The following is a 26,053-nucleotide window of genomic DNA, read 5'->3' on the forward strand; positions in this document are numbered from 1 at the left end:
TGGTTCAGGGCTGGGCTGCTGACAGAAGCTGGGTCAGGTAGAGCAAAGATTCTCCCCAAGACTGTTTATTGATACATAATAGATGTACATATTCGGGGTGCAGGCATATAATGTGTAGTGATCAAATCAAGATCACTTGTGACGCTTGTGATACCTGCCACCCCAAATCAAGACACTTGTGATACCTGCCACCCCAAATATTTACCTTTCCTTTATGCGGGGAACATTCACATTCTTCTCTTCTAGCCCTTTCGAAATCTACAAGGACAGTGAACAGGCGTCATGGAGGGAATGCTGGAGTCTGTTACCCACGTAGCTGTTATGCCAGAGGAATGGGGTCCACAGTGGTCAGTGTGAGGCTCAGCCAGTGTGAGTGGAGGAAGCAAAGTTTGCACAGAGAAAGACGCAAGAGCACCATGCTGAGCTCCCGCTCCCTATTCCAGCCTCACAGAGACCCAGTCACACCTTGCTCTCCCCGCTTCATGTGGACTTCCCTGACCTACACCAGTGTGAGCTGCATTTCTGCCACTTCAAGCTGAAGCTGAGCCCTGACTGACACAGTTTTCTTATTTCTCCGGGAGCAGCACCACTCCTGATGGTCCCCTCCAAAGCCCCAGGAAACTCTTGTTAGCAATCTTAGATTAAATTCAGTGAGTTTCTGGATCACGACAGGAAGCTGTGTCCAGCACGAAGGTGTCCTGTGAACAGGCTCAATCACAAGCTCTGCAGAGACGGGAAGTGACAGAGGCCCCAGAAAGCCAGTTCCCGACAACGCCAATACTGCACGTTTATCAGCTGCGGCAAGAGCCGGCCGGAGGCGGTGGCAGCACCTCAATGCCCTTGCCTCGTCTTCAAGATTCTTCTGTTTGATGTTGCGTCCTCACTGTTCCTCTGCTGAGGAGCTGTAGTGTGGCTCACAACTACGCGATGACTCTCCAGATTCAAAGACCACATCTCACCCTCTCTAAAGCCCCAGGGGCCCAGCGCAGTGCCGAGTGCAGAAGGATTGATGAGCATTTGCTGAGCCGGGTGATGATCCCACGGGCGTTGTTTCCTCTGCCCTCAGTCTCCAGCCTGCAGACGCCTGAATGGATTCTGGAGAGGTGTGCGTTGGACTCTGAAGGTCCTCTGAGCCCATCCAGGATAAAGATGCTCTCTCCCAGGCGTCTGCTCAGCCGCCGGCTATCGGCAGGACATTGCGCACCAGGTATCTTCAAGCTGCTTCTGGCTGGATTTAGGGCATGATGGAAACATCAAAACAACTGTAGTTCTGCCACGGGGTCCCACATCTGCTTATCCTGGGACAGCCACGCAGTCCCCACCCAGGAAGCGGCAGCAGGTTTCAGCACCCTGGAGAGGGCCAGGCCCCTGTGGCTGGTCAAGCTCCTCAGTGTTAAGGGAGCAGCTCAGGAAGGCCCCGCCCATGACGATGAGGGGACCAGGAATGAAGTCAGCAGGTGAGCGGGAGGAACTTGACTCAGAGCAGTGGGAGGGCAGGAAGCGTGCTGGGGAGGAGCCCTTGAGGGGCCACCACCTGGGGAAGCGCCTGCTGTCCCAGGGACAAGGGAAGTCTCCTCCTTTATTCCCCAGAAGGACAGCGTGGCTGCGGTCAAATCCATCCACGGGGCAGATTTTCCCCACGGCCCTGTCCCCTGACCCTAGTGGCCCTCCCACAGACATGCCCTGCAGGGCCCAGGACACTGGCCCTCGATGGGCCCTGAGCCAGTGCCACCTGTGTGTGCACTGATGAAGGTCAGGCACTTTATTGGAGGAAGGAGGAGCAGAAAGAGGAGAAGGAAACGTTAACTCCTAAATCACAAGGCAGAAAGGATTCCTGAAACAAATCAACCAAATCTGCCTCCTAGGTGGTTCCAGACCTGCCTCCCCTCCCCTCCCCGTTTCTTAGGGCGCGGCAGTAACGTTAACCCGGCTCCACTGCACATCCTCCTGACCCTGGCCCTGCACCCTTGGCCCCTGCACATCTCATGGCTGACACCTCTGTACGGGCTCTCATTTCACGTTTCACCTTCAAATTGTGCTCTGTGAACACGTGTATGCATGCACATTTATTGATCTATTTGTTTACGTTTGTTTGATGATCCAGTTGCAGTCTCTTTTCATTAGAAAGCTAGGCTTGTTCCAAGCATAATATGTGCTTGTTTTGACTTCTTTTGAAAATGAAAGCACCTGAAACTTCCCACAGCTAATTAGCCTGCCAGGATTTGTTTAATGGCAGAGACAGAAAAATCCCCTCAATGCAGCCACGCAGCTCAGCAAGAGGGCGGAGGGAAAGATGCACCCCAGCCCCTTGACTCAGGTATTTAAGAGGAAAACACGTCCTTCCGGGATGGGCAGAGGGCGGTGGCCTGCAGGCCGGCGTGGGATGGCAGGAGCGCCTGGGCTGACAGCTTTTCCTTCTGCCTTTCTGCTTCGCATCTGTCTCCCCAGAGACAGCAAATATGCCCAGCACCACGGTGGGCACGGAGACTCAGCCCCAGCCCTGAGAAGCGGCCCCAGGTCCTGAGTTATTTAACAAGCAGAAGTGAGTAAATGATGTCCGAGGCTCCATCCCTCCCATCCCTGCTGATGGCTCATCAGTCACAGGCAGTTACAGGGAACGGGGGAAGCCACCATCAGGGAGGTCCGTTTACTGCAGGATAGATGATTCGAATTAATATTTCCACCTCCAATCCAAATCATGAAAACAAGACATTACATTTGATTACAGCCAATCAAAATAGCAGTCATCCTACCTTGGAGTGATCTCCTGCCTTATGTGGGCGAAGCCTCCAAGTCTTTCTATGTTATTTCCTCATTTGTGCCTAAAAAGTTCCTTCTAGGGAAGAAGGGCCCGTCATCATCCTGCCCACTGTGCAGATGGAAAACCCAAGACTCAGAGGTGCTTTCATGCACTTCCCAACCTCCCAGAGGCCTGGAGAGCAGGGGCCGGCTGTGCTTCTCCTCCCGTGCTCTGCTCCTGAGCCAGGAGTTTCCCCAGCCGGGCCCCTGCCCTGAGCCCAGGTTGGGCCATGATTTCCTCCTTAGCCTGCCTCGGTCTCATCCTCTGGCCTCCAATAATAGGGCACTTCTTCCAGGCAGCCGAGCCCAAGCCTCATGCTCCTATGCAGCCTTTCAGGAAGTCCCTGTGCTTCTGCCTTTAGAATAACCTTAGCGGCAGACGTGTCCCAGTGCTGCTCTCATGAGATTTGCCCTGGGATTCTCTTCCGCACCCATGGCCTCTGCTTGGGGTCCTGCGGGACACACCCCAGGCTGCTGCCTGCACCCAGGCCCTGCACTCCCCACGCAGCTGCCTGGGGTCTCTCCCCAGCCTGTGCCAGAGGGTGTCACCCTCTACTCCCACCCTCGTATGGGCTCCACCGGCTCTACAGAACTTGTGTCATCCCAAATGGCAGCAGAAGAGGCCCTGGTCCTCTTCAGGAGCCCATGTGCTCCCCAGGGTTTCATGGTTATGAAATGGACCACTTCTGGCCCATGGGCTGTGAACTGTAGGGGCAGGAGAGGGCCCAGGGAGCTCCCCATTCTCTCTCCCAGAGGCTGGGCCTGGTTCATTCCCTGCACCACAACTTCCACACCCCTGGAGACTTAAAACAGCCCCAGTTATGGTCTCATGGTTCCTGTGGGGTGGCCCAAGCAGCCCTTTCCTCTCTCACACAAGAAACTCCAAGAAAGGGAGCAGAGGAGGGGCCCAAACCCTCCCATTCTGAGGTTGTCCCCAGGCCGTCCTGTCCTGCAGGCCCCCCGTGGTCAGGCAAACAAAGGGCAACCTAATAATAGACTCAGCAGGGCAGTCCCAGCAGGGGCACAACAGGCTTGCTGGTTGTCCCCAGTCCAAGGCTCCCTCTGTCTTCATGAGCCCACCAGGGGGTGGCCCAGCCCCAGGAGGCCCTTTCTCTCTTCATGGCCACACTCAATGGGGACCCAGCTGTGTTCGTGGTGCTGCCTGTGCCTTCCCTGGTGTCTAATGGAGCTGAGACAAGCCCCACTGTGAGCTAAGCCCCAGAGAAGGCGGCAGGGAAGGAGTGGGGAGAGGAGGAGCACTAAGAATTCCATGCAAATGATATTCAAATGAGCAGTACATGCTTCGGTCTGGATCCTGTTTTCTTCCTGGCCTCATTCCTGCTGGGCTGTGAACCTGCCCAACTTCCCATCCCCTGGTTATAGACTTTTTGGGAAAAAGCATATTTAGCTACCAGCACTCTCCCAAGTCCAACAGAGCCAGAGCGAGGCTGTGAGACCCCACCCACCACTTGGGGATGGAGCCTCCCTCCCCACCATCTGCAGGCTGTGCCCCCACTCCACCCCTAAGTTCTTCTCTTCTCCATGCTCTACCTGAGCCCCCTCCTCCAAGAAGGCTTCTCTGACCAGTGCAGGTCACAGGGTCCTCATGGACTTCAGGGAGGCACAGCAGATAGGACACTGGGCAGGTGACCAGGAGCCAGTGAAAGTGGGAAGGACTCAGAAAAATCATTTGAGAGGAGAGTGTGAGCTGTGCAAATTTTTATCCATCTGTCCCTCCACTCATCCATTCATTTATTCACCCACTCATCCATCCATCAGCCATCTATCCATCCATCCATCCATCCATCCATCCATCCACTCTTTCACCTATCCATTCATCCATCCATCTATTCATTCATCCATCCATCCACTCTTTCACCTATCCATTCATCCATCCATCTATTCATTCATCCATCCTTCCATCCATCCATTCATCCATCCACCCATTCATTCACCTATTCATCCACTCATGCTTCCATTATTTATTCATTCACCCACTCATCCATCTACCCATCCATCCATTCATTCACCATTCATCCATTCATTCATTTTTCCATTATCCTTTCATTCACCCACTCATCCACCTATCCATCCATCCATTCATTCATCTATCCATTCATCCATGCACCCACTCATCCATCCATCCATCCATTCATTCATCTATCCATTCATCCATGCACCCACTCATCCATCCATCCATTCTTTCATCCATTTACCTATCCATTCACCCATTAATTCATTCTTCCCCTCATCCATCCATCCAGCAATCCATTAATCCATTCATCAATCCATTTGTCCATTCAACAAATGGGGGACAGCTGAGGCCGAGACCAAGACCAAGTCCTGTCCCTTACTGGGCTTGTTTGCATTGCAAACAAAGAGTAACCAAAATAACCTACATTAAAACCTCAGGTGGTGATAAGGGAAGAAAATTGAAATAGGTGAAGGTCAGTGTGACATGGCAGAGGTGTGGGTGGGTCTCCCTCTGGTGTGTGGTCAGTAGCAGTAGAAGGTGTTTGAGTCACAGGGGCTGACCCTGGGGATGGGGAGCAGGTGGAAAGGAGGAGGTCCGGGATGAGCCTGGTCCACTGCTCGGGGGAGGGAGAGGAGCACCCACCAAGGACACCCAGGGGCAGGTGTCTCACGGGCCAGGCTGGGGTCGGGGGCAATGCAGAAACACCAGCACTGATGAGAATGATGCCCACATTTGAGACTCACACTTCCATCTGGACTTTGTCGTGCTGAAATGGTTCATTCTACCTGATCCATCTCGGTTAAATGAGGGGCACCCCAGCAGCAGGAGAGCTCCGTATACTAACAGCAACCTCTGTTTAGGGTTCTTGTGGCCAGGCACAAGCATCACCTCCTGTTTCAGTGGATTGTCTCACAGTTCCCTGATTATTCTCTGAAATAAGACCATCTTGTCCTCATTGATGTTAGTGACACAAACCCCACTCGCAGGGCCTAAGCCCCAAAGGGGATTAATGGGTGCTTCTAGGAGAGGGCGAGAGTGGCCTGTTTTCAGATCTGGGTGTGTCCAGAGCTCAGGTCACTATCACCAAGGCCTGGTCCACCCCTGGCTCTGCTTCCTCCATGTGGATTCCAGTCTCAAGCAGGCTCTGCCCACTGATTCCAGCAGGGCAATCTGTGCCACGCCCACCTCAGGTCACAGCCAGTGAGAAAGACCAGACCCTTTCAGCCCAAATCTCCTTGCACCTGATTGGCCCTGATGGCTTCACACCCCTATGCCTGAGCCAGTCACCTCCCATTGGAGGGCGTTGTGCTGATTGACTGTGACTTGGTTATGGAATCTGCCCCTGGACTGGGGATGTCCCCAAACCACGTGGACTGAGGCTGGGTGAAGGGTGATCCTTAAGGGGCTGTTCCAGGCACTGGGGGAATAGCTGCTGAGTGGTGTCCCTGGGAGAGCATCAGTTTCCCTGCTTTACAGAGAAGGGAACCATGCTCAGTGGTGAGGATGGCTCTGGGATCACACAGCACAGCTGTCAGGGTCAGCACTGGGAGTTGGACCTGCACAGCAGGCCTGGGCTCTGATCTCTGGCTGGACTGTCCCAGACCTGCCTCTGGCCCTGAGCCACAAGTCAGCTCTGGAGACACCTGCGTGGAAAGGGCACACCCCATAGACCCTCTCCATTTTACCTAGAGCCTGACAAGCCCAGTGCAGGCAAGGGCCCACAGACAGTGCTATAAATCTACCCCTCAATGATAAACTGCAAAGCAGCCATAAAGTCTTCAGGAAACACATACCGTATGGCAATTAAAATGATGTTCTCCCCCTCCGTCTCAGGGATGAGACATGTGAGGACCAGTGAGAAGTACTCATCTTTTACAATGAATGTCAACAGACTCTTACAAATGAATTCACCCCAGACTACATTGTCATCTCCTGGGGACACGTTTAAATCGCCTTCTGTGTCTGTAAGTATCAGCTTGTCCTGGAGTCGACCCCAGATGTGATGAGCACAAATGCTAGCTTGGAAGCCTGGGGCTGCCTGAGGTCTCTGGGCTCCTGCACAGACAGACAGACACAGTGCATCCCTGGGCTCCTGTCCCTCTGTCACTCACAGTCCTCTCTCGGCTTGGGTGTTCCATTGCACAGGCAGAAGTGGGGCTTGGTCTTGGCTCCTCCAGGCACCTCTGTCTCCTGACCCACGGCCTAGGGTGGCAGGATAAGAAGGGGACCTGGTGAGTGCAGCCATGACAGACACTCAATTGGACACAGTGCTCCCTCTGTGCTGGGTTTTGGACGGGTGTCCATTGTGATTTGCCCATGTTCCATTCCAATGGGAAAATGCTCCAGCCTGATTGGCTGGTGCTCCGTTGCGATTGGCTCATGCTCCATTCCGACTGGAAAATGCTCCAGCCTGACTGGCCTGTGCTTCATTGTGATTGGTTCATGCTCCATCCTAATTGGCTCATCATCTCATAATCCATTCTCATTGATCTATGCTCCATCCTTATTGGAAAATGCTTCATCTTGATTGGCCCATGCTCCAGTCTGTGTGGTCTGTGGTCAATTCGGATTGGTCCATGCACCATTCTGATAAGTCCATGCTCTATTTTAATATTTCAGTGCCCTGGGGAATATGTTCCCAACTGGAACTTCCCACTGGTTTGGAAAGAGCGGGGAAATTCTCCCCACCACATCACCTGTCTGTGGTTTATCCCCAGAGGTGAGATTCCTGCCCAGCATTCCGCACCCTTCAGCACATTCTAGCCCATTCCATTGTCTCTAAAAGAGAAAAGGCTCAGGGAAGGGTTGGGAACAATTAGGTAAAGGGAACAAATCTGAGTTTCTTTTAAATCCTGAAGTTTTCTGCATTTGCAGATTCTCCAGGACCAGATGCTTAGCCATCTGTATGGAGCACTTTCTCCTGGAAACGATTTCCTGCCTCCCAAATGGTGCAATTCTTGACTGTGCTGACGGCCATATCACTGTTTCAGGAACAGATGTTCTAGCTGTTGGCACCCAGAGAGAGAAGGCTACCTGGTTCTGGAAATCTCATTTTCCAATTCAATAATGATGTGCAAGTGTGTTCACACTATGCTCTGCCACTGAGAGGCCCCTCCCCAGCCTGGGCTCAAACCCCCGGGTCCTCTTCTGCACTTGGGGTTCTCCGGCCCCCTCCCCAAATGTCTCCTCCCATATGAATGAGTTAAGTGATTGATTGAATGAGTGAGTGAATAAGTGAATGAGTAATGAGGAGTGAATGAGTGAGTGAATAAATGGGTAAATGAATGAGTGAATGAGTGAATGAATGAGTAAGTGAATGAGTGAGTGAGGGAGTGAGTGAATGAGTAATGAGGAGTGAATGAGTAAGTGAGAAAGTGTGTGGATGAAGGAGTGAATAAGTGAGGGAGTGAATGAGTGAGAGAATGAGTGAGTGAATGAATGAGAAAGTGAGTGAGTGAGCAAGTGAATGAGTAATGAGGAGTGAATGAGTGAGTGAATGGGTAAGTGAGGGAGTGTGTGAATGAAGGAATGAATAGTGAAAGAGTGAAGGAGTGAATAAGTGAGGGAGTGAATGAGTGGATGAGAGAATGAGTGAGTGAATGAATGAGTGAGTGAATGAGAAAGTGAGGGAGTGAGTGAGGGAGTGAATTAATGATGGAATAAATGAGTGATTAAGTGAGTGAGAGAGTGAGTGAAGGAGGGAGTGAGTGAGAGAATAAGTAGATTAGTGAATGAAAGAGTGAGTGTGGGAGTGAGTGAGGGAATAAATGAGTTTTTGAATGAATGAATGAGTAAGTGAATGAGCAATAAGTAAATGAATGAATAAGTGAGGGAGTGAGTGAATGAGTGAGTGAGAGAATGTGAGAGTAAATGAGTGAATGAGTTAGTGAGATGAATGAGTAAGGGAGGGAGTGAGGGAGGGAGTGAATGAGGGAGTTGTCAACCCCGAATATCTGAGACAAGTCTCAGTTAATTTAGAAAGTTTATTTTGCCAAGGTTGAGGACAGGTGCCCATGACACAGCTTCAGGAGGTCCTGATGACATGTGCCCAAGGTGGTCAGAGCACAGTTTGATTTTATTCATTTTAGGTAGACAAGAGACATCAATCAACATATGTAAGATGAACATTGCTTGGGTCTGGAAAGGTAGGACAACTCGAAGTGGGGAGGAGGCTTCCAGGTCATAGGTAGAGAAGAGACAAATGGTTGCATTCTTTTGAGTTTCTAATTAGCCTCTCCAAAGGAGGCAATCAGATATGCACTTAACTCAATGAGCAGAGTGGTGACTTTGAATAGAATGGGAGGCAGGTTTTTCCTAAGCAGTTCCCAGCTTGACCTTTAGCTTAGTGATTTTTGAGGTCCCAAGATTTATTTTCCTTTCACATTTCTCCCCTTTTCTTTTTTAAAAATCTTTTGAAGAAGGTATTTTAGAAGAAAATGAGTCTCTGGTCTCAGGTTTCATCTGATATCTCCTGGCTAGGATGGTTTATTCCTAGACTGGTACATCCTGAGTTATGAGAAAAGTTCATTTTTAGTAGCTTGTTAGGTCTCATGTCCTATGAAGAGAAAATAGGGGGATAAAGGGAGAAAACAACAACAAACAAAAGAACAATCCTGGAAAATTTATATAGGCTGCATTACTCTGAAGTCTATACATCAGTAGGCAGGTATGAAAGTGGCTTATGTATGTAAATATGTATGTTATTTTTTTCTGAAGTTTAAGTTGTCTGGCTTCAGTTCACAGGGCTTTAAGAAAGCACAGCTTAGTTTTTAGTGACTCTAAATTAGGAAAAATGGGGGGTATTTTTTTCCTTCTAAAGGAAAGAAAAAATGGAAAACACTATTTTGAAGACTGTAGCCAAGAAAATTAGAATTCAGCCCAAACTGTAGAAAATAATAAAAATTGAAAAATATTAGGCAAGTCTAGAATCTAACAACAGGTGTACTATAGTTTTTGAAACATATTTTTTCCTCTCTCTAGTTTTTATCTTTATTAAAGACAAGTCATGGTAGGACTGATTTGCTTTATTATACTTGGCCCGATTATTTGGCTTTTACATTAATTTTGATGGAACTTTGCTCCACAGAAGGAATCTCAGATAAGACCTTTTTAAAGCTGAGCCCAGCCATGGATTTTTACCATCAAATACCTATGAGTTGGGTGAATTTCTCTCCTTCTGAGGTCTTAAGATAAACTCAGGGCTTCTGGGCCTATTAGAAAGTGACATTTTTTACTTACCACAGGCGAGGAACCCTGTACAGGGACTGTGCAGACAAGTCATGAGGTTAGTTTTCCCTAAGGGGCTTTTATTGGCTCCATAAGTCAATTTTGATATCTTTAAGGAAAACACATCATTCCAGTCAAAATCCTGGTAAAATAACTAGTTTCTCCAATTGTTTTCTGTTACAAGTGAAAACAGATTCTTATTGCACTTATGCAAATAACTGTATTGCCATAAGTTAAGAATACTCAAAAATAGTTTCTAAATTCTGGAGAAATCAGGTAGAAAGAAACAAATATGCTCCAAATTTTGTTCATAGGAGTATACTAAATTGTTAAAAGCTGTCAATAGCTCAAAAGAAAAGTTTTCTTGACTCTGAAAAAACAAAACAAAGGATTAGCAATGGTTTAAGCTTCAAAAAATCACTTCAAAAAGTTTACTTCAGTCTTCCCTTAGTTCAGTCCATGCAGTAAATTCTTGTTCTGCTTGATATTCATAAACATTTCAGCTACCCATGAGTCCTGAAAGTTTTTTCTCTGTTCTGATTTCACAGTCTCCAAAGTTATCAGAAATCTGTATTCAAGAGCACCTGTTGGAGTTTTATACCTGATTATAAAAACACCTTCTAAAGAGGACCAAAACAAGACAACAGTTTTCCATGGATGACAACAGTTTTAGGGAAGCCATAGTCAAAGACACATTGACAAGGAAATTTGTTACCTCTGTGGCACAAAATAATTTAATATAACAATTATAATTATTACTGATAATGTACACTAAGTCATATCGGAATTGTAGGCGTTTCCCATAATTTTGGAACACATATTTATACAAATACAGCCCAAAGAAAACCAACACCATTTCATATTTGACAATGCTTCTTGTATAATTTTTATGACAAATAAAACAAATTATGTCATTTTTGGACTTTAGGGAACCTAACATCTTAAAGGATTAATTAAGTCAGAAAAAGGCATAATTTATAATTTGAGAGTTTGTCATATATCAAAGGCTTGATAGACACTTGATATCACAGGTCATTTTAAAATAAGTCGTTCATTACACCAAAGTGATAACTCAAGGATTTTTTTTTTAAAGGGCAAAAACCTTTATTCTTTCAAAGAGGAGACTTAATTTTCCAAGCAATAAGCCCTAATAAAAACAGTATGAAGCCAATTAAATTTGTTTTTCAAAATTTTATAAACAATCTATAAAATTTAAATATTGACCATAAGATATAACTTCTATAAGCTTTCTATAACCTTTATAACATTTATTAAGGAGTCGGTGAATGCTTCAAGAAAACCTTGTTAATCTGACACAGGGGCCTATATGCTGGTCTTGCATCAGTGTGCCTTTGACATTAATGATTAATTCATACAAAAACTGAACTTATTTTATCTCTCAAAATTGGCCCTGACAATCTCATATGCCCACCTCTTCCATGATAGTCCCTGGGCCTTTAGGAGTTGAATAGCTTTAATTTCTGGCCCTGTGTCTCAGGAATGCAGTTTATTTTGATTGGCATCTTCTACTGGCCCCGAAGATGAGGCTTTAATTGTTGTCAGTGTTTAAGATTTATCAGGACTTGGTGTCCTTTTTAGATGAGTCAAAGCCCTGTAACACAATGTCACAAGGACTTTAAAAGCTTATACAGAAAGATACAGGGATGTAATAACCTTAATTTAAAAAAAATTCTTTTAATCTGAGTTTTTTTCCTAAGCAGACCAAAACAATAATAATGGCATAGCAATTGTTTCAATAAACTGTAAAATCTGTTAGGCCAGTTACCAATGGCAAAAGAAAAGACCTTCTGCACTACACAGAATGGTATGTTGGAAGAAAACATTGCCTTTGGAACTTTAAGAAAACATTGTTACCATCAGGCCACAACAAACAGATCTCAAAGAAAAAAACATATGAGCTTAAAAATGAGTTGAAGGAGAGTATTACTATTTCTCACCCTTTAAAAGGGAAGAGAAAACCTAAAATGGCAAGATGCAATAAAAGTTGAACTTTGGGTTAAAAAAATTAAAATCTCTTATAATTAATTAAGAGTAAATCAATCCCTTAAGAAAATTTTATTGTTCTTATATGTGGTTTTTACATTAAGCCCAGTCTCTATAAAGACCATTATAATTTCCCTTTAATTAATAGACAACTTGATCTGAAAGTTTTTGGTCTTTTTTGACAAATCCTCTTACTGTGACTTACAAAGACCATTCATGACAGCTTGGACTTTCTGGTGTGTCCTGAATGTTCCTCTTTCTTAAACACCAGTCATTTTATTTGAGGACTAAATTTACCATACAAGATTCTTCTCATACAAAATTATTTCTCTTTAAGCTTTATTACCAAAAAAATCACCTTTCTTTTTATAACTTTTTTTTGCATTTTTCTCATTTCCTGGTTCCTTTTACCTTGTTTTATACATAACCTTTAAAGAAGCTTCGAATTATACAAAAATCATTCACCTTTTTAAAAAGAACGCACTTTTTTAGAAAAAACATTTTCCTACAAATATATTTTTATTGGAAAATACCCAAATAATGAAATGTATATTTAATTTGATATAACTTTAGATTCTAAATTATGATGAGTTTGTCTACAAGTATTTATCCCATTACATTTATCTAATTATTTTATTTTAATCATTTACCTAGATTATTTATGAAAACTGCAATAGTCATCATTTAAAGTTAAGGAACGGCCATTGTAAAATTATAACTGAGAGAGTGAAAAAATCTGAACTAACTGGCTTTATCTTGCTTCTAACCTCCAATCTGTCCTTGTTCATTCCTAGGCATAGGCCGAACTAACTTTGGGATGAACTTAGTTTATAGTTTAGCTTTGAAACAAAGACAATAGCAGTCCTTTCCCAAAATAAACCTTACTGTCTGTGGACTAGACTGCCTAAAGCCACAGATTACAAGTTATGGCAATCTTACTAAATTCTGGATGTAGCTATTTTCATTAAACCAATAGCAATGTCTTATTTATTAAAAAATTACATAAGCAGACATCACTCTGTTTTGGGCTGGGTTTATGGTTTTGAAATCCTTATGCCAAATTTTGACACCTTATAGTATTTGGCAGGGATAAGTATGAAATTGCTGAATTAGTAAATGCAAACAAAAATGTGTGCTGGCAATTCGTAACATATTTATAATATTATTATACTTTACCAATAATTTTAAAGCTAGCTTATTTAAGATTTTACTTAAGTTACATAAACTTGAAAAAGCATTTGACTCGTCTTTTCTTTTTTCCTGATAAAGTATTTGATTCAAGAGCTTTTATTTTCTTAAGCCAATTAACTAGAGCCCTTTTATATATTTTCAGCAGTGAAACATTTTGCACACAACACATAAATAGATATATGTATTAGGCATGCCCATAGAAGCACATCTTATAGGTTTATAAAAACATTTTTTCCTATCTTAGACTTTCAAATTATTGATAACCTGTTTCACTACTCTAGACAGTTGTCAGCTAAATAAGCCTTAAATGTGTATATTAAAGGAAACAACTCAGGTAAAAATCAAATAGCAAAATTTACCTCATAATGTGCAGGGAGAAAAAATAAAAGTGTGCTAGAGGGAAATCAAAATAGATTTAATTGCCAATTAAACATAAAATTATAGAAATTATAAAGACCTTTTAAATATATACACACACAAGGATCCTATAGCTTTTACTTCAAAACTTTAGCCATGAGATAAATAAAAATTCACCAGCTTGTAAAAAAATGCCTGTTGGATCCAAACAGTGGTTTTTATCTTAATAGAAAAATAGCATCAGATTTAAAGTAGGCAGAAAAGAAAATAGAGAAAAAGAAAACTTAGGAACTCTATTGTTTGCAGGTTGACCTTAGGGCTCTTTTTCCTTAATGTAAATGTGCACAAAGACCATATTACTTCCATTTTACATAAACTCTGGCAGTAGAGGTGCCATAAAATCTACAGAGTGTTCACAAAGGGGCTATTCTCCTTGTTTCTCCTCATTCTTATTTGTTTCCCTTTTTTTTTTTAAGGAGGAACTGAGCTGTAGCCTAGCTTTTTTGTGTGGTGGATCGATGTGTGCTACTTGTGGACAGGACACCACAGTGTGTCACCACTGAGTCATTTCTGCCCTCTTACATGTCTCAGTTTCTCTCTCTCCAGAGGTCTATGACCTCTGAGAGGGCTCAAAATGCTGGGTGATCAGCCCTTTTATGCATTTCCTGAATAAATCTTTTTATTAAATTAATTTTCACTGGAGATTTCCCTGTAGGGCCCCTGCATGTCGTGGGGAGTCAACACCCCAGACACCTCTATGAGGCCTCCAGTCACCCATTGGTGCCTTTCAGCTGGGAAGAGCAAAATGCCTCTTCTCCTTGGAGCTGAGAAAACTCAGTTTATTTACCTATGAAAACAACAGTTTAGTTCCTCATGCAAATGCACACAGACAAGCTGAATCTAGATTAATTTGGGGAGAAAAAGCAATAGAGAAGACCCTTAAGAATGCATCTCCAAACTAGAATTAGGATCCTTAAACAACTTCCTGGGAGAAGCAAACAAACAAACAAACAAAAAACAGCCAAGACCATTTCCTGTATTTGCTCAGCCACTCCTAACTTTGTAGCTCTCATCTGCCATTACACACGCCAAGGTCAAATCCTTTCACAGTACAAGGTCATCTCTGCTACCCCCAAAGCCAAAGAGGTCAGGTCATGCAATACAGGAAAACAGAGCTTTAGGCCTAAGAAAAATCTGCCCATGACTCTTGAAACTCCATAAAGAAAACAGAACACCCCAGAATGGGTGAGTGGCACCTTTGTTCTGAATTCTTTAAAGGGGTTCAAGTCCTTAGAAGCCTTCTCTAGATTTTTGGTATGCAAATGTCAAAGTGGGAGGAAGGAGCTATAGAGTAGAAGAAAAATAAAGAAAGAACATTTGTTTTTTTAAAGCAGGAAGCAAACACAGAAACCAAGCACACAGTTTTTTGGGTTTTTGAATTTTGTTTTTTCCTCTTTTTCAGCTGTGAGAAATTTTAGCCAAATTAGAGAGGCTTTGTTACCCGTAATTTGGAATTCTCACTTGCATTTGACCAAGTCAGGTAGAGTTGGTCAAATCTGATGACAGAAAGACCGGAACAAACAACAACAAAAACTAATAATACGATCACTGAGCACCTAATGGTAAAGATAAGTTAAGACTCTAATGATAAAGATAAGTTAAGACCAGCCGGTTGTTAAACTTAAGCCAAGACAAGACCCCAATTCAGCTACTTACTGAGGGATGGGTCTCAGGCTCAAGACTGCTCTCTACCATCCCAGAGGCAGGAAAAAACTCAAACTTGTCTTCCCTGCTGGGAGTGAGCTCAAACTCCATAAAGAAGTTACCTGCTTTCCATTGTCATGGAAACAGGAAATTTTGCCTCCCTTGTTGGAAGCAAGTAAAACTCCAATAAAAGTAGTTGTACAGCAAAACAAACTTTAGATCTTGACCAAATTTGGGGATATCAGGGATTCTTGTGTGTGTGTGTGTCGGGGTGGGGGTTACAATTATGGGAAAAGCCCCGCTGGACCTCCTGTTGCCAAGAGAAAGGTGCCTCTACCTTCAACTCGGTAGAACAGAGTGGGTGTCAGGAGGGCGGGATCTGAGGCCATGGCCAGGTGCCCCTCAGTGAGTGGATTCCCCAGACAGAGTCTTTACCTCCCACCCTGCCAGCTCCCCCTCACACATCTATTCCTATTATTTCAGTGAATGGCACCGTCCTCCTCCCATCGATCTGGGTGCAGAGCCCTAGAAACAAGGCCCAAGAGGGCCTGGAAGAAATGAGAAGAGGACTCCATGGTCATGGTCAGCCCCTTCCTGCACTTACTCCTCACCCACATCTCCAGCCCTGGGCTCTCCTGGGGTCCCCTCCTGGGTTTCCTGTGGTTCCCTCCTGGGTCTCCCGTGGTCGCTTCCTGGGTCTCCCATGGTTCCCTCCTGGATCTCCCATGGTTCCCTCCTGGGTCTCCCATGGTTCCCTCCTGGATCTCCCATGGTTCCCTCCTGGGTCTCCCATGGTCCCTTCCTGGGTCTCCCATGGTCCCCTCCTGCATCTCCCATGGTCCCCTCCTGCGGTGGGAGTGGCAGCTCCTGGATATTCTAACTCACCTCTCAGGTCTGCACACCCTCCCAGCCCCCTTGGTGTTTCTTTCTCATCTGAGCAAATCCCTTTGGCATCAGAGAGAGGCCTGTGGACAGCCCACAGGAAGGCATCTAGGACAGTGAAGCTCAAAGCACTTCCCTGGTGTTGGGGTGAAGGCTGATGTTTCCAGAGAAGACATGTTTCCACCACATTCTACATGGCTGCCTAGTTCTTCTCTATCCACACCAGCCTGGCTGTCAGGAAAGGCACATTTGCATGGAAGGGTCTCAGGGTGTGGAAGAAAGGCAGACTCAGGGTGGACTCAGACAGGAACAGAACCACACGCATTGCATGAAAAGCACCATCAGTGGACAGAAACCCTTAGTCAGACTTCACAGCATTAACAGCCCCAGCATAAAAGAAATTGCTCGGCATGTCTCCTCCCATCTCTGCACATCATGTGTCAGGTGGCCACTCAGATGGCTAATTGACTCCTTTGAGGAGCAGAGGCTGGGTCCAGGCAGGAACAGTGGTTCTGGTGTGATAATGTGACAATTAAACAAAGTGGCATCTGATTAAGTGACCACATCGATTCTCTTAACATGAAAGGAGAATAGCTTCTGGACTGGGTGGCATAAACCTCACTCTCTTTGGAGAGTGATGAATGATAGGGTCATTAAGGAACAGAGAAGAAAATGGACAGACAAATAAATGGAGAATTGGTAAAAACGGGGATGGGTGTGCAGTGGAAGACTGGATAATTGCAGGATAAATGGTGTAATTGGGTAAAATCCAGATGACTGGTTAAAACGGGTAATGGGTGTATAAATGGATGAGAGATTAGATGGCAGATATATGGGCAGATGGATGGATGGATAGATGGAAGAGAGAAGAATGGATAGTAACCTGGGAATATGTTCAGATAAGAGGATGGGCAGATGGATGGATGGATGGATGGATGGATGGATGGAAGAGAGAAGAATGGATAGTAACCTGGGTGTATGTTCAGATAAGTGGTTGGACAGATGGATGGATGGATGGATGGATGGATGGATGAAAGAAGAATGGTTAGTAACCTGGGTATATGATCAGATAACTGGATGAACGGATGGATGGATGGATGGAAGAGAGAAGAATGGATAGTAACCTGGATATATGTTCAGATAAGTGGATGGGCAGATGAATGGACAGATGGATGGATGGATGGATGCATGGAAGAGAGAAGACTGGATAGTAAACTGAGTATAAGTTCAGATAAGTGGATGGACAGACAGATGAACAGATGGATGGATGGTGGATGGATTAGTGAGAAGGTAGGTGGCCATACACACAAATGACAACTTTGAGAGCACATATTTGACTTAAATCTTAGGGTCATCACGTTCCCAGGAGATGCGTTACTCCTCACCTGCTATTCCCAGCAGCCCAAACTTCCTGTTTCCACCACTTCCCCTGATCAATTCGGATACTCAGGGAATGAGGGGGTCACAATCTGAGTCAGCAGGAGGTCAGCCAACCTGGCCAGCGGTATGGATGCCCCAGGCAGCCCACATGTGGGTGGTGACTTGAACCTACACAGGCAATGGGGGAGGAATTCGGGCAGTTACCTGGATAATTGGGATAAAAACAACTCCACTCAAGAACCTGGAGGACTCGGGCCTCATGGGCTCTGGCGGGACACGATCCTCGGGTCACTCCCCTCCCCGTCCCTGCGCAAGTCCTGACCCAGGGAGCCCCTCCCCTGCGGAGGGCAATGCTGAGCCAGCCCTGGGCACAGACAGGTCTGAGTGTCCCCGTCTTCTCCACCAGGGGAACCACAGCCCGTCTTTCCTCCAACAGAAACCAACCACATCCCCGGATGGCACTCAGACAAGCCACTTTCTATTGACTTCAATTTGCATTTTAAATAGACTAAGTGGCTCCGGAAAGAAAGCAGAAGTTCATTAGTGTTGTGAAATGCCATTTCCATCAACTCCTTGCATGGGAATCCTAATTACAGCTCCCTGGGGAGCAGTGGCAGGACCCAGGCCCACCGAGCCAGCAGCTGGAGCAGAAGTGAGCAGAGAGCAGCTTTGGCTTCCTGGGCCCTGGCTGGGAGAGCGGGGCTGCCTGGGTAAAGGAGCCCCCTCCTCCAACTCAGAGGCCCCTGGATCCTGACCCTGGCCGGCCAGCGGCCTGACCAGCAGCCGTGTCAGCAGCATTGCCCCGGGAGCAGGGGCTGTCAGTCCTGGTGTGCTCTGGAACCCAAGGAGCCTGAGACAATCTCGTGCCTGGAGACCGCCCCCCCCCCCCCAGAGATGCAGGTGGACGTGGGAGTCAGCACAGACCCCAGGGGTAACTATGCCTGGAGACCACCCCCAGAGATGCAGGTGGGCGTGGGAGTCAGCACAGACGCTAGGGGTAACTATGTGCGGCTGATTCGTGACCACTTTCCTGGGCACCTTCTGCCTCCCCCACAGAGGCCCACACCTCCCCCCACAGACAGAACCCATCCCCACCCGTGCACTGAGCGCCAGGGAGACAAAGCCCCATCCACCCGCAGTGCATTCATTCATGGAGGAATAAATGTGTGTTGGCTGGAGAGGGCTTTTATATTACTCACTAAAATTTTCAACGCATCTATCCACAAAGACAACACATCAGGAAGGGATCATGTTTTCAACAGATGAGGCTGTAGCCATTGCAGGTCCGCAAGCAAAACAGTGAGCTCCACCTACACCTCCCACCTCACGCAAAAACTACCTCAGCATGTATGGGGGACCTACGTGTAAAACGTAAAATTACAAACATTTTAGAAGCAACATTGGAGGAAGCTTTGTGACTTTGAGTTAGGCAATGACAAAAGCACAATTCTTAAAAAAAAAAAATCTATAAACTTGACTTCATCAAAATTAAACCCTTTTGCTCTGCAGAAGACAGAGTTTAGATAATGATCAGACCAGCCACCGGCTGGCAAGGAATATTTGCAATTCATATATCTGACCAAAGTCCTGTATCTGGAATATGTAAATAACTCTGAAAGCTCAACCGTAACAAAGCAAAGGATACAATATTTTTTAAATGAGGAAAAATGTACACAGACGTTTTCCCAAATAAAATATACAAGTGGCAAATAAGCCCATAAAACAATGGACAATGTCACGAATTATTAAGAAAATGCAAATTAGAGTCATCATGAGGTCACAGCACACACCTATTAGGATGCTAAAATTAACAAAAAAAGGAAAGCAAAGAAAGAAGGAAATGATAGCAGGTGCTGCTGAGGCTGCCGAGCAAGCTGCGCTCACAGTGGACGGTGCAGCCACTTCATTATGGAAACAGGGTGGCTGCTGCTCCAGCCAAACACTCCACACACTCAGCATGTGAGTCCGCAGCCCCACCCCAGGGACCCACTCACGTGGAGTGAAAGCCTACCTCCACACAAAAAAATGTAGGTTAAAGTTCCTAGTGGCTTTATTTGTAATTGCAGAAACCAGAAACAACGCAAACGCCCCCATCAGTGAGCGCAGAACGAGTCGCCATGCATAGGTGCAGTGGACGCCGCTCAGCAGGGAGACGGGCAGGGCAGGCCGTGGGTGCGCACAGCCGCCCGGGCGACTCTCCATGACCCGCGCTGAGGGCCGGGAGCCCACCCAGAAGGCTCCCACTGCATGAGCCCATTTATAGGACGCTCTGGATGTCAGAGAAGAGGCCTGCGGTTTCCAGGTGTTAGGGTGGAGGGGAGGGGTGAGTACAAGAGGAAGTGTGGAGGGATGTGTGGGTGATGGGGCTGTTCATCTGTCTGTCCATCCACTTATCTGAACATATACCCAGCTTACTATCCATTCTTCTTTCTTCCAGGCATCCATCGATCCATCCATCCATCCATCCATCCATCTGTCCATCTGTTCATCCACTTATCTGAACATATGCCAAGGGTACTATCCATTCTTCTCTCTTTCATCCATCCATCCATCTCCCCATTCATTTATCTGAACATATACCCAGGTTGCTATACAGCCTTCTTTAATCCATCCATCCATCCATCCATCCATCCATCCATCCATCTGTCCCTCCACTTATCTGAACATATACCCAGGTTACTATGCATCTTTCTCTCTCTTCCATCCATCCATCCATCCATCCATCCATCCATCCATCCATCCATCTGCCCATCTGCCCATCCATTTATCTGAACATATACGCAGCTTACTATCCATTCGTCTCCCTTCCATGAGTCTGTGCAGTGGTCCAAACCCGCAGAACTGCACACCAACAAGGGTGTGAAAATTAGAAGACAAACTTTAAAATGCACTTCCTCTTCCACCAAGCAGCCCTCCAGGAATGATTCCCATGAATGCACCCACATGAGCATCTTAGCAAAGGATGGGGAGCCTGTGAGGGACCCGCTGCAGGCGTGGGTTAAATGAGCCTGGAGCTTCCAGGCCTGGAATCCTCCATCCAGTGGGTAAAGAATGTGGCAGATCACTGTTGACTGATGGGGACTTTTCCCATGAGCGCCGTGTGAAAGGGATGTGGAGCCGCACACAAACCACCCTGTCATTTGCATGAGAAGAAGAGACATAGCCATGTGTTTCCTTGTTGGTGACACAGTATTTGCTGGAGGGATGAACAGAAATGATAACACCAGCTGCATCTGGGGAGGGAACTGGAGGCCGAGGGACACTGTGGAGACCTGCTTGTCAATGAGTGTCCTTTGAACTGTTGGAGGACACTTTGTCTATTCAAAAGGAAATGTATTTTATAGTTGTTGCTCCAGCCTGTAGATCTGCAGCTAAGGAGAATTGCCATCCTCCTGCCAACCTTATAGGAAGAAGCCTCAGCCCAGGCAACCATGGAGCCATCCCAGTTCCACACATGCAGGTTAAGATTATTCCGCTCTAAAGGTCAGCACAGGGCCGACCTGGAGGAACAGGAAATACGTAGGTTCCCAGCATGGGTCAGTGATCCCCTGACCAGGCCAGCAGCATCCATCCATCCATCCACCCACCTACCTATCCACCATTCACCCATCCTTCCATTCACCCATTAATCCATGCATCCATCCATCCACCCACCCATCCATCCATCCATCCATCCAACCTTCCACATATCCACTCATTCATTCATCCATCCATACACCCACCCACCACCCACCCCCCATCCACCATTCATCCATCCTTCCACTCATCCATTCATCCATCCTTCCATCCATCCACCCATTTGTCCATGCTTTCATCCACCCACACATTCATCCATCCAGCCAGCCAGCCACCCATCCACCCACCTACCCACCATTCATCCCCCCATTCATCTATCCATCCATCCCATCCCCCCAGCCACCCATACTTCCACCCATCCACCCACATATCCACCATTCACCCATCCACCCATCCATACATCCTTCTACCCCTCCACCCATCTATCCATCCTTCAGTCCATCCACCCATGGATCCATTTGTTCATCCAGTTCACTGAGCACATGCTGTGGGCTAGACTGTCTGCTAAAGCTTGGGATAGAGCCATTCGGAAGAAAAACAAGATCCCTGTCCTCCTAGACTTAGTGCTGTGTCAGGGAAACAGACAGTAGCCACACACTCGTCCTTCTACTTAAAAAAAAAATCCTCACTGAGAAAACCATATTGCAATAATAACACACATTAAAATTTTTAAAATTTCCCATAGGCTGATCACATTTGTAATTTCACTTTTCCATATTATTTTGTATGATTAATATTTGTCCATACACTTACTTTTTAATTAATTTGTACCATTACCATAAATACAAACAGATGTTCCCATGGTTCAACTTAGGATTTTTTGACTTAACAATGGTGTGAAAATGATCTGCTTTCAGTAGGAACCGTACTTTGATTATCTGCATAGCCATTCTTTCACTTTCAGTGCAGTGTTGAATAAATCACAGGAAATACTCAACACTGTATTATCAAATACGCTTTCTGTGAGATGATTTTGCCCAACAGTGGGCTAACGTCATGTTCTGAGCATGTTTAAAGTAGGCCAGACAAAGCTATGCTGTTCCATAGGTTTGGTGCATTGATGCATTTTGACTTAGGACATTTTCAATTTAGGAGGCGTCCTCGTGACACAGCCCCACTGTAAGTCGAGGAGCATCTGGATTGTAGTTGACATTTTCACTTCTCATTGCAGCCCTGCCCCGATGTAAGTCAAGGAGCATCTGGATTGCAGTTTACGTTTTCACTTCTCATTGCAGCCCTGCCCCAATGTAAGTCGAGGAGCATCTGGACTGTAGTTGACATTTTCACTTCTCATTGCACCCCTTGTGTGTCCGGCACAGGCTCCCAGGGCCGGGAATTCTACTCACCCTGCGCGGCAGCTGCAGAAATCCCACAGTGCCCATGGACCACCGCGTCTCGGCTGCCCTCCCATGGGTGACATCTGGGTCACTATTCCCAGTTCTCAGCCACCATACACAGTGCAGCCACAAACACACATGTCAGGACATCCTCGTGTGTTTGTGGCTCTTTCCATATGATATAAGAATTAACTTCAAGGCCCCCATTCCGATAAGTTCCTTGGTCGGTACAGGACACCCATCCTGGGCTGACCTCAGGAGGCTCCTCTGAGGAAGTGATGTGTGGAGAAACCTGGGGAGAGGGGAGGAGCCGGCTCAGGAAGCTTCTGAATCCAGGGAGCTGCAGATGCCCAGTCCCTGGGCCTGGCAGGAGCGTGGCGTGGGGAGAACAGAGAGGAGGTGAGCAGGGAGGCCCCATGAGTCGGGGTGTGGCAGGGCCCTGGGGTTTATGATAGAGCTCATGGGGTCTCTAAATGCGGGGAGAAGCCGTGTGAGGGCCGCACACAGAGGTGGCCGCACAGAATGGGTCGGCACAGGCCCCTGACTGAGCGCTAGAGAAGGGGGCAGAGGGAGGGTGGGTCTGGAAGCCTTGCAGGAAGGAGGTGGAGCTGTGAAGACGGGGGAATAAGGAAGGAGGTGGAGCTGTGAAGATGGGGGAACGAGGATGGTGTCAGGTGCCTTCAGGACACAGGATCTGCGGCTCGGTGACTGTTGGATGGGGAGAGGAGACGGGCGTCCAGCACGTCCCAGGTTTCTAGTGTCAGCGTCGGGAGGCTGCAGGCAGGATACTGGAAAAGTAAAGCATTCTGGGAGGGCTACCAGTGCAGCTGGGACTCGAAGAGGCTGAGGTCCTCTGAGATGACCCAGGAGCTGTCGACAAGGCAGGGCCACGGCCAAGGCCAGGGTGGAGATCAAGGGGTGTCAGCAGAGGGGCAGGGGCCACATTGGGGGCTTCCCGGGGAGCAAGGTCCCAGGATCAGCAGGTCATCCTAGGAGGTGTTGTTGAGTCTGGCCTTCAGGGGAGCTGTTTCAGTGATGCCCCAGGCACCATTCATCTTCCCGACACTCAGGCAGCATCACACGGGACACCGATGTCCTTGAGTTTTAAGTCCTGGGAACTGGTGTTCAAGTTCAGTGGACTCAGATGCCCCACAGAGCCCATGTGCCCAGTGAGGGATGATGTGGGGTCTCTGACCACATATGGGGCACAGCCACAAGGCACCCAGCTACCCCTCGGCCCCTCACAGCATGAGGTTGGGGGTGGAGTGGTCCTGCAGACCCCAGCTCCCCACCGCTGATGTGGAGTTGGGAGGGCACAGGAAGGGGAGGGTCCAGGGGCCGAGGACCCACAGGTGCAGAGTGAGGAGGGGTGGAGCCCATCCAGGGTAGAGGGAGGCCAAGTGGGAGGGCAGGGCTGGGCCCCTGGAGGGTGGCTGAGGGTGGAGAGAGGCCAGCTCCTCACACCTCCGCCCCACGGGTGTTTGAGATGCGTTCAGTACCTGTCTCTGCGGACCTTATTCTGTGGCCATGATTCTGGGAGGATGGAATCCTGAGGCCTGGTGTGCAGGGCCCCTGAACAAAAGCCCAATGGTGTTTAGGGCCAGGCTGGGTGTGGGTCGAGCGCAGGGCACAGTCGAGGAAGGAGCCCAAGGTGACCATGGATGCAGGAAAATCCCAGGCAGGGCCCAGGCAGGATCCCTGAGTCTGCAGGACCCCAATGCGGGTGCCCTCTCAGGGACCACCCAGGGCATCATCACAGCCGCCTAAAGTCCTAAAAATACCTGCTTGGAAGGAGCCTGCGGTCAGCTCCCTGGCCTCCCCTTCCCCATTATGACTTCCCAGCTCTTGCTTTTCCCAGGAAGGACAATCCGCCATCCCGCATCCTCCAGAGGCATGTCCTGGGAGGATGCACAGAGACCCCAGGGCACCCTCCAAATGAGACTTATGAAATTTTCAAATCCATTTCTACAAGGTGCACTTTCCTTTAGAAAAACCTCTAAAAATTTTTGAAATATTAATTACATAAATAATACACCATATTACATATCCCATATGTCAATATTTACACATACACTATGTAAATACACTTATGCCATATATTTATACAGATGTAAGCATATATATGCAACAGAAATATACACATGACATAATATAAATATTTGATCTCTTCATGTTGTTTGGAAGAATTATCTGTTACTAAAAATGGGACCATAACTGGATCCAGAAAAGTATTTTAACACTTGGAACTCTATAGACACAAGAATTACATTGTATTTAAATTTTGAACATATTTTTGTTGTGGGGAATATAATCTGTCAATCAGTAAATACTTCACGCATCAAGTGCTCCATGGAGAAACGGGATGCAGTGAATTGTGAATTGGAGTAGAAAGGATGCTGTGGTTTTCCCACTGTGCTTTTAAATGTGGATGGTGAGAAGGGGGTGTCTGGGTCTTGGCGTTACTGAGAGGTGAAGACATCTGCACTTCCTGGGTCGAGTGGGGACTTGGAGAACTTTTCTGTCTTACAAGAAGATTGTAAAACACACCAATCAGCACTCTGTAGCTGGGATTGTAAAATGCACAAATCAGCACTCTGTAGCTAGCAAGGGGATTGCGAAATGCCCCAATCAGTGCTCTGTGAAACACACCAATCAGCACTCTGCAAAATGCACCAATCAGCAGGAATCTAAATAATCAATTGCAAGGAGAATTGAAAAAAGGGCACTCTGATAGGACAGAAATGGAACATGGGAAGAGACAAATAAGGGAATAAAACCTGGAGACCCTAGCCAGCAGCCGCAACCCACTTGGGTCCCCTTCCATGCTGTGGAAGCTTTGTTCTTTCACTCTTCACAACAAATCTTGCTGCTGCTCACTCTTTGGGTTCATGCCAACTTTAAGAGCTGTATCACTGACTGCGAAGGTCCGCAGCTCCATTCTTGAAGTCAACGAGACCATGAACCCACCAGAAAGAACCAATTCTAGACACATCGTGGGGGCTCACCTGGGAGATTGCCATGTAGTGAGTACTATTGGACCCCTTTCACTTGCTATTCTGACCTATTTTTCCTTAGAATTCGGGGGCTAAACACCAGGCACCTGTTGGCCAGTTAAAAGCAACTAGCATGGCTACGGGACTAAAGACACAGGTGTCAGGCTTTCTGGGAAAGGCCTCTGTAACAACCCCCAACTCTTTGGAGTTGGGAGGGTTGGTTTGCCTGGAACCAGCTTCCACTTTTCCTGCATTTCCTGGCTGAGCCGCAGGTTGACAGAGAGGAAAGCCATTCAGCTCCAGGGTCCTGACAAAAAGGTGGTTGACCCTGCAGCCATGAGCAGAACTCTCAAAGTTACATCACCCAAACGAGACTTGCCCATCTATCCTATCTATCCTGACCCTTGCCTCCTGGGTCCTAATGCCTGTCAGACAAACTTCCTCTTACCTCTCTTCTCCAAGGCTAGTCCTGCTTTCAAAACCACCCCCTGGTGCTTTTCTAGTTTCTCCTATAAGGATGATTTCTAATATAAGTTTAGGGACTCTGTTCCTTTCTTTAGGGACCTGGGCTCACCAATGAGAAAGACATAATTTTGCCCCAAGCCCAGTGGGTTGGGTGGGGGGGGCTA

At 46.9% G+C, this 26,053-nt stretch overlaps 1 long non-coding RNA gene across 1 annotated transcript, besides 5 other annotated features; it reads right to left on the bottom strand.

Moving 5' to 3' along the window:
- Positions 1 to 49: 49 nt before the first annotated feature.
- Positions 50 to 2,835, bottom strand: LOC124903055 (uncharacterized). Its single transcript, XR_007063528.1, has 2 exons — positions 2,754 to 2,835; positions 50 to 2,650 (listed from the first exon to the last, which is right to left on the bottom strand). It is a non-coding gene; the product is annotated as an uncharacterized LOC124903055 (long non-coding RNA).
- Positions 764 to 1,665: an enhancer, noted in NCBI's record as "H3K4me1 hESC enhancer chr12:131795285-131796186 (GRCh37/hg19 assembly coordinates)". NCBI's record gives its function as "activates a minimal SCP1, AML or CMV promoter by ChIP-STARR-seq in naive H9 embryonic stem cells {active_cell/tissue: H9 hESC(naive)}" and the evidence as "EXISTENCE:reporter gene assay evidence [ECO:0000049][PMID:30033119]".
- Positions 1,666 to 2,567: an enhancer, noted in NCBI's record as "H3K4me1 hESC enhancer chr12:131796187-131797088 (GRCh37/hg19 assembly coordinates)". NCBI's record gives its function as "activates a minimal SCP1, AML or CMV promoter by ChIP-STARR-seq in primed H9 embryonic stem cells {active_cell/tissue: H9 hESC(primed)}" and the evidence as "EXISTENCE:reporter gene assay evidence [ECO:0000049][PMID:30033119]".
- Positions 3,470 to 4,369: an enhancer, noted in NCBI's record as "H3K4me1 hESC enhancer chr12:131797991-131798890 (GRCh37/hg19 assembly coordinates)". NCBI's record gives its function as "activates a minimal SCP1, AML or CMV promoter by ChIP-STARR-seq in primed H9 embryonic stem cells {active_cell/tissue: H9 hESC(primed)}" and the evidence as "EXISTENCE:reporter gene assay evidence [ECO:0000049][PMID:30033119]".
- Positions 14,070 to 14,119: a silencer, noted in NCBI's record as "silent region_5096". NCBI's record gives its function as "represses an Ori minimal core promoter by ATAC-STARR-seq in GM12878 lymphoblastoid cells {active_cell/tissue: GM12878}" and the evidence as "EXISTENCE:reporter gene assay evidence [ECO:0000049][PMID:35858748]".
- Positions 23,455 to 23,779: a silencer, noted in NCBI's record as "fragment chr12:131817976-131818300 (GRCh37/hg19 assembly coordinates)". NCBI's record gives its function as "represses an EF-1alpha promoter that drives an FKBP-Casp9 reporter gene in an ReSE screen in HepG2 liver carcinoma cells {active_cell/tissue: HepG2}" and the evidence as "EXISTENCE:reporter gene assay evidence [ECO:0000049][PMID:32094911]".

This window comes from Homo sapiens, chromosome 12 (assembly GCF_000001405.40).
Source record: "Homo sapiens chromosome 12, GRCh38.p14 Primary Assembly".
NCBI lineage: Eukaryota > Metazoa > Chordata > Mammalia > Primates > Hominidae > Homo > Homo sapiens.